General features: G+C 38.8%; 1 protein-coding gene across 17 annotated transcripts in view, besides 2 other annotated features; it reads right to left on the bottom strand.

Moving 5' to 3' along the window:
• Positions 1-201: a silencer, noted in NCBI's record as "peak1449 fragment used in MPRA reporter construct". NCBI's record gives its function as "represses an SCP1 promoter by STARR-seq MPRAs in K562 erythroleukemia cells {active_cell/tissue: K562}" and the evidence as "EXISTENCE:reporter gene assay evidence [ECO:0000049][PMID:32103011]".
• The window catches only part of ATM (ATM serine/threonine kinase), a 146036-nt gene that overhangs the window by 132253 nt on the left and 1346 nt on the right, over positions 1-12437 (bottom strand). For 6 of the 17 annotated variants that reach the window (XM_006718843.5, XM_017017790.3, NM_000051.4 and 3 more), the window contains exons 2-5: positions 9154-9255; positions 8962-9074; positions 7527-7672; positions 1016-1180 (exon numbers count right to left, since the gene is read on the bottom strand). In XM_006718843.5, the coding sequence (XP_006718906.1) occupies positions 1016-1180; positions 7527-7672; positions 8962-9074; positions 9154-9225 (496 nt within the window). In that variant the 5' untranslated portion in view covers positions 9226-9255. Of the gene's footprint in view, positions 1-1015; positions 1181-7483; positions 7673-8961; positions 9075-9153; positions 9256-11275; positions 12067-12437 lie in introns of those variants that run through there. The other 11 variants (XM_011542840.4, NM_001351834.2, XM_047426976.1 and 8 more) reach the window with 6 other exon arrangements.
• Positions 11281-11400: an enhancer, noted in NCBI's record as "active region_5487". NCBI's record gives its function as "activates an Ori minimal core promoter by ATAC-STARR-seq in GM12878 lymphoblastoid cells {active_cell/tissue: GM12878}" and the evidence as "EXISTENCE:reporter gene assay evidence [ECO:0000049][PMID:35858748]".

The following is a 12437-nucleotide window of genomic DNA, read 5'->3' as shown; positions in this document are numbered from 1 at the left end:
AACTGAAGTATTTCAATCTCTGACCATAACTTCCTTCCTTTGTGGTCTCTCAGTACCTCCCAGCTATAAACAGGAAACAACACCAGATTCCTCCCTAGCACACACTCTACACATCTAATGAATCACTGGGTTCTGTACATTGTCTTCTAATGCATTCTATTCTAATATATTTGATTTCCATTACCTTAGAAGTAGCGTGCTAACTGCCTCATCCAATGGATACTTTTGTGTCTTATCCTTTCTACAACACTTAAAATGTTGGCCACGCCCCTTTGAACTTTCAACTCTCTTGCTTTCACTTTTTTTTTTTTTTTTAAATGGAAACAGGGTCTCACTCTGTCATGGAGGCCGGAGTGCAGTGTGATCACAGCTCACTGCAGCCTTAACCTCCAGGGCTCAGGTGATCCTCCTGCCTCAGCCTCCCAAGTAACTGGGACTACAAGCAAGAGCCATTACCTCCGCTATTTTTTTAAAGACAGAGTTTCACCATGTTGCCCAGGCTGGTCTTGAACTCCTGAGCTCAAGCAATCCACCGGCCTTGGCCTCCCAAAGTGCTAGGATTACAGGCGTGAGCCACTGCACCCTGCCTGCTTTCACTTTTATGGTACTTCCCTCTCTTGGTTTTCTCCCTTTCTACTTAAATCATGGTTGAGTTTAGGTGTCATTGTTTTGTATACCTACTGAACCCAAATATGTCTGTATCACAGCACATTATGAACTCTGGTTTACTTGGGTTTTCTTCTGCCACTGTCAACTCCTTGACGATGGAGATGGTATTTTTCAACTGTAATTCCGGCTCTGATATCAGGCACCTGATATATTATTCATGACTTTATTCAAAAGCTACATAATAAATAAAAATTAAGGGTCAGTTCGATAACCATATAATTTTACTAAAGTACTGTTAAACTGTCAGGTCACTTGGGGGATATAGACAGATACAGACAGAGTGCTTTCTTTGGTGAAGTTTCATTTCATGAGGAAAAATTCACAAACAACAACCTTCAAAACATACCTAACCACTGTTGCTGAGATATTTCACACCAGTATTTTCTCACAGAAAGAATGTCTTTGAGTAGTATGTTGCTACAATCAGCTCCGTAAATAGCACCATTAGATGAATCTTTCACTGTATCCATGATATAATTTAAGAGTTCTTGACATTTTAGCCTAGGTGCTCCTATTTCAAAATAAACAAATAAAGAAAAACATAAATTTGAACAAAAATAAGACACTTGGAATGGCAACTATTTAAATAATTCCATTTGGGAAATTACTATTAACTAAACTTCTTTTGTAGAGAAGAAATTGGCAAATTATGGCCCCAAGCAAAATTCATTTTTTTTTTCTTTGCAAATAACATTTTATTGGAACATAGTCACAACCATTCATTTACTTATTGTTTATGGCTGCTTTTGTAATTAAGACAGAGGTGACCACATGGCCTATAAAGTCAAGAACATTTACTATCTGGCCTCTTTACACAGTAAGTTTGCCAACGCCTCTTTTATAGGAATATATAGCAAAAACAATCATTCTTTTTTTTTTTTTTTTGAGATGGAATCTTGGTCTGTCACCCAGGCTGGAGTGCAGTGGCACAAACTCAGCACACTGCAGCCTCCACCTCCTGGGTTCAAGTAATTCTCCCACCTCAGCCTCCAAGTAGCTGAGACTAGAGGCGTGCACCACCACACCCTGCTAATTTTTCTACTTTTAGTAGAGACAGGGTTTCACCATGTTGACCAGGCTGGTCTTGAACTCCTGACCTCAAGTGATCTGCTCATCTCGAAAAGCAATCATTCTTAAACAATTATAACCTTAATAATTCACAATTTCTGGTGTTAGACCAAAAATGATCCCAAGTTTTTTGGCACTCTTTATGAAGAATGAATTTATTAGAATAACATAAGATTACAAGGAGAATATTTACCTTGGAAAGCAAAATTAGTTCTAAGTCCTATAATAGCATTTATGGCATACAAACACCTCAGGTTGTAATTTTTTTTTTTAAGACAGGGTCTCGCTCTATCACCCAGGCTGGTGTGCAGTGGCATGATCACACCCAACAGCAGCCTCAACCTCTCAGGCTCAAGGGATCCTCCCACCTTAGCCTCCTGAGCAACTGGGACTATAGATGTTGTGCCACCATGCCCAGCTAATTTTTTAAATTTTTCATAGAGACAGAATCTCTCACAATGTTCCCCAGGCTGGTCTTGAACTCCTGAGCTCAAGGGATTCTCCTGTCTTGGCCTCCCAAAGTGCTGAGACTATAGGTATGAGCCACTGTGCTTGACCCCTGTACCTGTGTCATTTTTAACAGCATGTTATTTACTTACTAGAGATTCTGAAAACTTGGCATGACTACACACATATTCTTGAAGGTAACAAAATTACATTTAAAAATAATTTAATTATCATTTTCAGTAAATTATATTTACGTCACAGCAGAAATGCCATTTTTCCATACTGACAATCTTAAAATTGAATATATTTATTGCCATAACTATGAGCAGAACACAACTCATGTAAATATGAATATATTCTGGATTAGGGTTTTCCTATGATGAAACTAGTTATATTCACAGGCTATGGTAAACAAATATACACTGATATAACTGCAAAATCATCTTCACTTATGGCTCACTTCATAATTTTAGGCATTGTCCAGTTATGAAATGCACAACCATGTGATCCTTTTTTCTAGTACCCTGTGCATTTCTCTTATAGTCCTTGTAACATTTTTCTAATCTAAAACATCCATTGTATGATTAGATCCTTAAGGAAAGGAATTAATCTCTATATTCTGACGTAAAAGCCCAGTGACTGCCCTAATAGCAAATGCTCAATAAAAATTAATTTGTGTTGAATAACTACAGAAATTAATATTATAATAAAATCCTATCTTCCTATGTCCTTTATCCCAATATATCTCCCTCCTCTACCAAATATGAGAAGTATTTCAAGAAATGTTGACTTTTTTTTCATAGTTTTGCTTGTTTTTGAGACAGAATATCTCGCTCTGTCACCCAAGCTGGAGTGCAGTGGCCCCATTATGACTCACTGCAGCCTTGACCTCCTGGACTTAAGGGATCTACCCATGTCAGCCTCCCAGGTAGCTAGGACTACAGGCAAGCACCACTACACTCAGCTAATTTTTTTAGTTTTTTTAAAGATGGGGTCTCCCTATGTTGCCCAGGTTGGTCTCAAACTTCTGGGATCAAATCTTTCTTAAAAGTACAACTAAGTTGCCTGCAGAGACTTTTTTTTTTTTTTTTTTTTTGGACACAGGATCTCACTCTGTCACCCAGACTGGAGTGCAATAGCATGATCGTGGCTCACTGCAACCACTGCCCCCTGGGCTCAAGCAATCTTCCTCCCTAAGCCTCCTAAGTAGCTGGGACTACAGGTGGTCACCACCACACCTGGCTAATTTTTGTGTTTTTGTAGAGATGAGGTCTCACCATGTTACCCAGGCTGGTCTCAAAATCCTGTGCTCAAGCAATCTGCCTGCCTTGGCCTCACAAAGTACTAGGATTAGAGAGGCATGAGCCACTGTGCCCAGCCTACTTACAGAGACTTTCAGGAATCTTATGGAACTTAACATTTTTCGCAGCTGAGTTTTGCACTATCTAGACTCTATTTAAGCTTTGTACAAAAGCAGACAAATGCTAACATAAAGAAATGAACAGGGTGGGCACAGTGGCTCACGCCTATAAACCCAGCAGTTTGGGATGACAAGGCAGGTGGATCACTTGAGGTCAGGAGTTCGAGACAAGCCTGACCAATGTGGTGAAACCCCGTCTCTACTAAAAATACAAAATTAGCTGGGCATGGTGGGGCATGCCTGTAATCCCAGTTACTTGGGAAGCTGAGGCGGGAGAATCGCTTGAGCCCGGGAGGCGGAGGTTGCAGTGAGCCAAGATGGCGCCATTGCACTCTAGCCTGAGCAACAAGAGCAAAACTCTGTCTCAAAAAAAAAAAAAGAAAAGAAATGAACAGTAGGCTGGGTGTGTGAGTGTGGTGGCTCACACCTATAATCCCAGCATATTGGAAGGCAGAGGCAGGCAGATCACTTGAGGCCAGGAGTTTGAGACCAGCCTGGCCAACATGGCAAAACCCTCGTCTCTACTAAAAATACAAAAATTAACCGGGCCTGGCGGCGTGTGCCTATAGTCCCAGCTACTCTAGAGGCTGACACGTGAGAATCGCTTGCGCCCAGGAAGAAGAGGCTGCAGTGAGCCAAGACTGCACCACTGCACTCCAGCTTAGGCAACAAAGCAAGACTCTGTCTCAAAAAAAAAAAAAAAAAAAAAAAAAAAAAAGGAGAGAAATCAACAATATTTGCTTACTTGTTTCTTCTCAGCTGCCTTTTACTTCTTTTTTACTAATCTCTATTTCTTTCATCATACCTTGGATACCAATGCTAAGCAAGAATGGCAAAGTTTAGACATATGTTAAATTTCCATCAACCCTCCAATCTTTTCGTAAAAAACAAACAAACAAACAAACAAAAACAACTGAAGTGGGGTGAGGGAATAGTAACTCCCTGGTTTTGCCCCAATATTAAAAAGGTTTAAGTAACAAAGTCAAATTTGAAAGAAAAGGAAGCCGTAAATAAAAAAACAAATTTTCAACTACTTACATGACCAGCATTGATAATTTCACCAACTATTTCTTATAAACCAACAGGCTGATGCATTTTCAAACGTAATCTCCATTGTTAATGTTGCAATTAAAAGGTTTGTTCACTGCAAGGCAAAACTACTGTACACATTGCAAACTTTTCTGGTGGGCTACAAAATTGACATGTTATCTTTCTCTCATTCACTCTTTCAGTAAGTACCTACTATATCCCAGCATTATTAGCAAATAAAATATTTTACTGGATACAAAGCTACTACACAGAGCAAAAGTGAGTGCAGAATATTTTGGTGTAGTTTTCCTTTGTCTCTGCTGGAGTCTCTGACAAGGGGTTGAAGCTATCCACACGAACTCGCATCTCAGAGGAGGTAGAAAATTGACTAAACCATTATTCTTTGGACTCAAGTCTCATACCACCAATCTGAAATATTCACTAATAATCTGCATACTTCTACTAAATATTTACCAATTTGGGGGCTTTCCTGATTCTTTTTTTTTTTTTTTTTTTTTTTGAGACAGAGTTTCACTCTTGTTGCCCAGGCTGGAGTGCAATGGCACAATCTCAGCTCACTGCAACCTCCACCTTCCAGGTTCAAGCAATTCTCCTGCCTCAGCTTCTCGAGAAGCTGGGATTACAGGCACCCGCCACCACACCCAGCTATTTTTTGTACTTTTAGTAGAGATGGGGTTTCGCTATATTGGCCAGGCTGGTCTCGAACTCCTGACCTCAGGTGATCTGCCCGCCTCAGCTTCCCAAAGTGCTGGGATTACAGGTGTGAGCAACCGCGCCTCACACTCCTGATTCTTAAATTAAGAGTTGGTATCACAAAGCAACATCCTTATCTGTGAAGAGCCCAGGAGTCCCTGAACACACACTTCTGCCTCTAGCTTTTCAGTATGTGTAAAGCCCATTTCCTTACAAAAGCTTGCCAGGATCCTGCATTTTGGTTCCGAAAAATCAACTCTTCACAATATTAATTGTACAAGTTAAAGATGGGAACTATTTGGCTCATCAGGAGAAAAAAATATTTTTGGGGGTTGTTTTTTTCCTCAAATCATAGCAAGTAAAATGTCAGTTAAGTGTTGGTTCTGACAGCCAAGGAAGCTCACATGATCTTAGAATTAATCAGTAAGAGTACAGAATGAAAGATAAGCAAGAATTGCTTCACTCTGTACTAATCAGAATATACCTAAAAGATTGAGTCCTGGCCAGGTGCAGTGGCTCACGCTTGTAATCCCAGCATTTCAGGAGGCCAAGGCGGGAAAATCACTTGAGGTCAGGAGTTTGAGACTAGCCTGGCCAACACAGTGAAACCCTGTCTCTATTAAAAATACAAAAATTAGCCAGACATGGTGGCCCATGCCTATAGTCCCAGCTACTTGGGAGGCTGAGGCAGGAGGATCACCTGAGCCTGGGAGGCGGAGGCTGCAGTGAGCCAAGATTGCACCACTGCATGCACTCCAGCCTGGGCTACAGAGCAAGAGCCTGTATTAAAAAAAATGAGTCCCACACTTTTTTGTTTGTTTTTCTGGCCTCTTCCCTGTAAGTAGAGGCCCACACTTTAAGACAGACAATTAAAGTGAAGAATATTCAGAGGAGAGTAGCATAAAACCTAGGTCACGTGAGCTGAAGAAAGTGAGATTATGAACTTTAGAGATGAGGACTTAGGAAATATTGTGGCTACTTTCAAACATCTCTAAGGATGTCACACTAAAAACATAAATAGGAGTTTTTGATATACTCTCAGAAGGGAGAAGCAGTAACAAAAGACAGGTTTTTAATACTTTTCTTTTTTTGACAGTCTCGCTCTGTCGCCCAGGATGGAGTGTAGTGGCGTAATCTCAGCTCACCACAACCTCTGCCTCCTGGGTTCAAGCAATTCTAGTGCCTCAGCCTCCCAAGTAGCTGGAATTACAAGCGTGCGCCACAATGCCCAATTAATTTTTGTATTTTTAGTAGAGACGGGGTTTTGCCATGTTGGTCAGGCTGGTCTCGATCTCCTGACCTCAGGTGATCTGCCTGCCTTGGCCTCCCAAAGTGCTGGGATTACAGGAATGAGCCACTGCGCCTGGCCAGTTTTTAATACTGTTAATGCTATTCAAAGATGGAAAAGAAAGCCTTGAAAGTATATTCAATCATGAAGACTGCACTTCTACCTAAAGGCTAGGGACGTAGAGAGGGCATCCAAGACTGGGTAGTTTAAACAGTAATTTTTAATTCCTTCACTGGGCATGGTGGCTCACATCTGTAATACCAATAACTAGGGAGGCTGAGCAGGGGGAGGACTGCTTGAGGCCAGGAGTTCAAGATCAGCCTGGGCAGAACAGTGAAATAACACCTCTTAAAAAAAAAAAAAAAAATCAGCCTGGCATGGTGATGCACTTCTGTAGTCCTAGCTACTAGGAAGCCAAGACAGGAGGATCACTTAGGAACAGAGAAGCTTCAGCCTGCAGTGAGCTATCATCACACCATTGCACTCCAGCCTGGGTGACAGAGTGACACCCTATCTCTTAAATAAATAAATCCCTTCAATCCTCAGATTTCTGTCATTCTATGCTTGCATAAATTTCCCCAAATATTTGAACTTGTAATATTAAAAATCAGGCTGGCCTGAGTGCAGTGGTGTTTACAACGAATTGATCACAACCAGTTACAGATTTCTTTGTTCCTTCTAAACTCCCACTGCTTCACTTGACTAGCCCTAAAAAAAAACCTTTTAATAAAAATAAAAATCATTATATGTACTTACACTCAACTTTTATCTTATTCTATTTAGAACAAACTTATGCAACAGTTAAGTCCTTAAAATGATCTGAAAAAAAAAAAAAACTCACGCGACAGTAATCTGTTAAGCCATTTATTTATAATTTATAACATCACTTACTTCTGTTTGCACATTTGATGAAGTATTTGACCAAACTACTGATTTCCTGCATCTTTTTCTGCCTGGAGGCTTGTGTTGAGGCTGATACATTTGGTTTTGCTATTCTCAGACATTCTGTTTCTTTCTGAATATATTTCTGTAAAAATCTTCAAGAAAACAAAATGCAATTTCAGAAACTCGTTGAATACTTAAATTATAATAATTTCAAAAGCTGTTCATGCCATCACAAAGAGCAACTTTTAAACCACCTTGCTTAGATTACTACATCAGCTGAAAAAAACAAATAAAACAATTAAATCTCTCTTTCAAGGCCTAACTCCTACAAGACCAATTTAATATCTGGTCTGCAAAGCTCTTAATCTTCTATGACTTTCTATTGCTTTACTGCCTGTTTTCTAAATTTGTCATTAAAAGCTTACAATGCTAGTAAGGACCCTCTCAATCCTCTCTCAACTCCTTCTGTTATTCTGTACAGGATCTACCTGTTTCTTAGGCAGTTGGTAATGTTGCCAGCCAATAAATTAAGCCTGCCTAGAAGATATTCATAACTAGCCAGGAATGCTGGGTGCATATTTGACCTACCAGATCAGCTTATACAAAATAGTATTCATCTTCAGGTTGTAATTATATTTGTGGTATTTAAAATAAACTAGAAAATCAGAGGAAAAACAGCATGCATGTTTCATTTTATATGCTTTCAAATCTGTAACAGTCAATCTAATACCAAACAGGAGCTAAAAATAAAACAGAATCTGTCATAAACACTGAAGGACAACTAAATACACACTTCCTCTTGACTACAAATGTTATTTCTAGTTTATTTAATACTCTCAGTATTTAAAATACTTTATTCATCTTTCCTAATCCTTACAATCTGTTTCTAGTTATAAATGGATTTCACGGTTGAAAATGATGTCTCAATGTAAAAATGCATCAACCCTGTTTGCCACTCCTGTCCAGCAATCAGTTGTGTTTTTTCATTGTTCGAGGTATTTTTTGTTTTTAACCAAATTCATACACAAGTATTCCAATCTTCCTTTTACTTGTTTTATTACAATTTAACACACAGCATTTACTTATAATCAGAGTAATATTTAAAGGTGTGAAAATAATATCCTAACATTTATTATAATTTTTTCCTCTAATCTGAAGTCTTGTGAACTAACTAAAATGAAAGAAATTCTCTCTCAATTTTGAGTGAGATATGTCTAAAACATTTTATTGAAGAAATAATTTATAATTTTTAAGTTTCTATATGAACAACCTTTAAAAATTATGTTTTGGATAAATATTAAATGCCAAATTCATATGCAAGGCATAATGATATATAGGAAGCAAAGATAAATGTTAAGACTTACACACAAAAGTAATATCACAACAGAAATAAATATGAAAGAGAAAAATAAAGACAGTAAAATAAATTTGAATAGAATACCTAAAAACAGCATCCCAATTCAAATATTTTCCTTGTTTGGAATCTGAATGCCGATCTAGATGTTTAATTGTTTCAGGATCTCGAATCAGGCGCTTAAATTTCTCAACTTCTTTCTGAAAATAAAAAGGAAATAATAATGGGTTACTAATCACACTTATTTCAAGGAAAAATTGAATTTAAGTAATTTACTACCTTTCGTTCTGTAGCTCTATCATGTTCTAGTTGACGGCAGCAGATAAGCAGATCATTAAGTACTAGACTCATGGTTCACAATTTCAGAACACACATCACTGTCTGTAAAAAAAATACATATAGGTATATATATGTATATGTATATATGCATATATAGAGAGAAAGAGGTGTGAAAAAATGTGTATATAATTATTTTATACTGCAGTATTTATAGTTAGATTTAACTGTACAATTAGAGGCACATTCTGGTCAAAGGCACAATAATTTTTCTTAACATTTCCGTATTTAAAATGAGATTTTCTTAAAATCTATACAAGTAATGCTGTAACACAAAAATGTTTGCCTTGCTTGCAGTAGTAGCAGGATTAAAATAAAAGTATAATTTACACTGGACGCAGTGGCTCACGCCTGTAATCCCAGCACTTTGGGAGGCCAAGGTGGGAGGATCACAAGGTCAGGAGTTCGACCAGCCTGACCAACATGGTGAAACCCTGTCTCTACTAAAAATACAAAAATTAGCCGGGCTTGGTGGCGCGCGCCTGTAATCCCAGCTACTCAGGAGGCTGAGGCAGGAGAATCGCTTGAATCTGGGAGGCAGAGCTTTCAGTGAGCCAAGATCGAGCCACTGTACTCCAGCCTGGGCAACAGAGGAAGGCTCTGCGGGGCGGGAGATGGGGGAAGTATATTTACTTTTTATTACTCTGAGACCAAAGAAACATGACATTTAAATTGAGACATGAAAGATGAATAGAAAACAGCCAGGTAAATAAGGAAATGAGCACTCAAGGATTTAACATTGACAATGAACTATTTAAAAGCACTCTTGGCCAGGCGTGGTAGTGTGCTCTTGTAGTCCCAGCTACTCAGGAGGCTGAGGTAGGAGAATCGCTTGAACCCAGGAGGCAGAGGTTGCAGTGAGCGGAGATCGCGCCACTGCACTCCAGCCTGGTGACAGAGCAAGACTCCGTCTCAAAGAAAAAAAAAAAAGCACTCTTGCTTATATGGAGAGACATGTCATTTTGCTGAGCCAAAGGCTTAAAACATGCTTTGGAGCTGATAAGTAGGAGGTTATCAGAGCTAGTAAGCTTTGTCTACCACTTCCATCTCAACTGGTATTAAGGTTCTTATTTAACACATAACAATAGGAGTAAAATGACATTTCTGTTTTAAAAGGAAATGAAGCAAATTCTATGCTATGGTGGTATCCTTTGCAAATATCAAGGATCAACTATATTTTACTATGCCTTGATTCCACTGAGTAGCTCTCTTCTTTTGGGGGCTTCTGATATAATCAAACTCTCTTTTGATGTCCTTCAAAAAAATGTAGTAAGAACAGCATTTCAACATGGACACAAAGATGGGAAGAACAGAGACTGGGGACTGTTTGAGGGTTGGAAAGAAAGGGAGGTATGGCTTGAAGGGCTACCTATCAGGTACTATGCTCACTACCTGAGTGACAGGATCATTCGTACACCAAGCCTCAGCAACATGCAATTTACCCATGTAACAAACCCGCACATCTACCCACAGAACCTAAAGTAAAATAGAAAAGAAAAAAAAAGAAACAGCATTCTGTTTTACTAGTTCTGATCTAAACCTTTATATAATACAAAGAAGTTTTTTATTAAACTATGAATGTCTGTAAACAGAGAAAAAATACATATATTTATGTATATTATACCTACAAATAACTATATCTCAAGAAGTAAAAAGGTAGGGAAAGTCCTTCTCCTATCCATCCATCTAAATTCTACTTAATCTTTCAAGATTAAGTATGTTTCTCTGCCCCGATTCAATCTCACAGAATCTCAAAATTGGGAGGAACTAAAAGACCAGGTCCAATCTTCCTATGAAGGAAGGAATGTCTCTTACAAAATGAATGCCCTGTCTTTGAATATTCTCAGTAAGAGCTGACTACCGGGGCTAGGCGTGGTGGCTCATGCCTGTAATCCCAGCACTCTGGGAGGCCGAGGTGGGCGTTCCACGAGGTCAGGAGTTCGAGACCAGCCAGCCTGGCCAACATCGTGAAACCCCGTCTCTACTAAAAATACAAAAATTAACCAGGTGTGGTAGCATGTGCCTGCAATCCTAGCTACTGGGGAGACTGAGGTAGGAGACTCACTTGAACCCAGGAGGCGGAAAGTGCAGTTAGCTGAGATCACGCAATTGCACTCCAGCATGGGCGACAGAGCGAGACTGTCTCAAAACAAAACAAGACAAAAAAAACAAAAAGAGCTGACTACCCATTTTATTAGCAGATGGCTCTGATTCTCTTCTCCTTTTATATTCACTGGTGGTTCTTCTGACTTCCCCCATCCCCCAACACTATTACAACTTCCGCTTTACTCTGCTATAGATTACAGATTGTTATTTGAGTTCTTTTCATTTGATTATATACTTCCTGTGGACAAGTATTATCATTTTTGTTTTTCCATTCCTTATGGTTTTATCTAGGAATCTTCTTACTTCTTCAATCTCAGTTTAAAGCCCTCTTGAGTCAATAAGGAAAATGAAACTGGTAATCTAACCAATGAAAATACCTTAGCAATATCCAAAGAACCATAAGGTTTGGCACCTTTATTCCTAAATATACTAAAGATTTGACACTTCCCGGAAGAGGCAGCCCTAAACTTGACTTTTTTTTCCCCATGGTGTGACTTCCTTGAACTTGTTTTTCTTACCTTCAGCTTAATGATTACTTTGAAGAAAACAAAACAGTTCAGTATTATCTACATAAACAGAAGATGCTCATTCACTGATAGATGCAAACAATATTTACTACTTATAGCTAGACAAATAATGAACTAAACAGATACAAATCCTACCCTCATGAAGTCATATCTGGGCAGCAGGGTGACAATAAACAAGTAAATTGATAAACCAATGCATAATTCCAAATTGTGATGTATGCCTCTGAGGAAACAAAAACACAGTAATAGAAAATAACTGTAGAGAGAATCATTTTAGATAAACTGTCAGGGAACATATATCTCAGAGGAGTTTATAATAAAGCCAAGATCTGAACTAACTGGTGCCAATCAAAAAAAGGGCTAGAGGACCAACACTTCAGGGAAGGAGACTAGCATAGCCAAAGGGTTCTACAATGTTAAAGAACACAGTATGTTGGCGGAACTGAAAGAAGGCAGAGGAACTATTAGGTAGTCAACTAGAGTATGAGTGTCACCATATAAAGATGAACTTCATTTATACATTAATCCAGAATATCTAGGTTCCACTCAAGGTTCAAACGAAAAGATAAGGATTTCCTACTTCCTACGAGCCTC

The sequence above is a fragment of the Homo sapiens genome, chromosome 11 (assembly GCF_000001405.40).
Source record: "Homo sapiens chromosome 11, GRCh38.p14 Primary Assembly".
NCBI classification, from domain to species: domain Eukaryota; kingdom Metazoa; phylum Chordata; class Mammalia; order Primates; family Hominidae; genus Homo; species Homo sapiens.
Note: the sequence above shows the minus strand (reverse complement) of the source record. Positions and strands in the feature narration are given on the sequence as shown.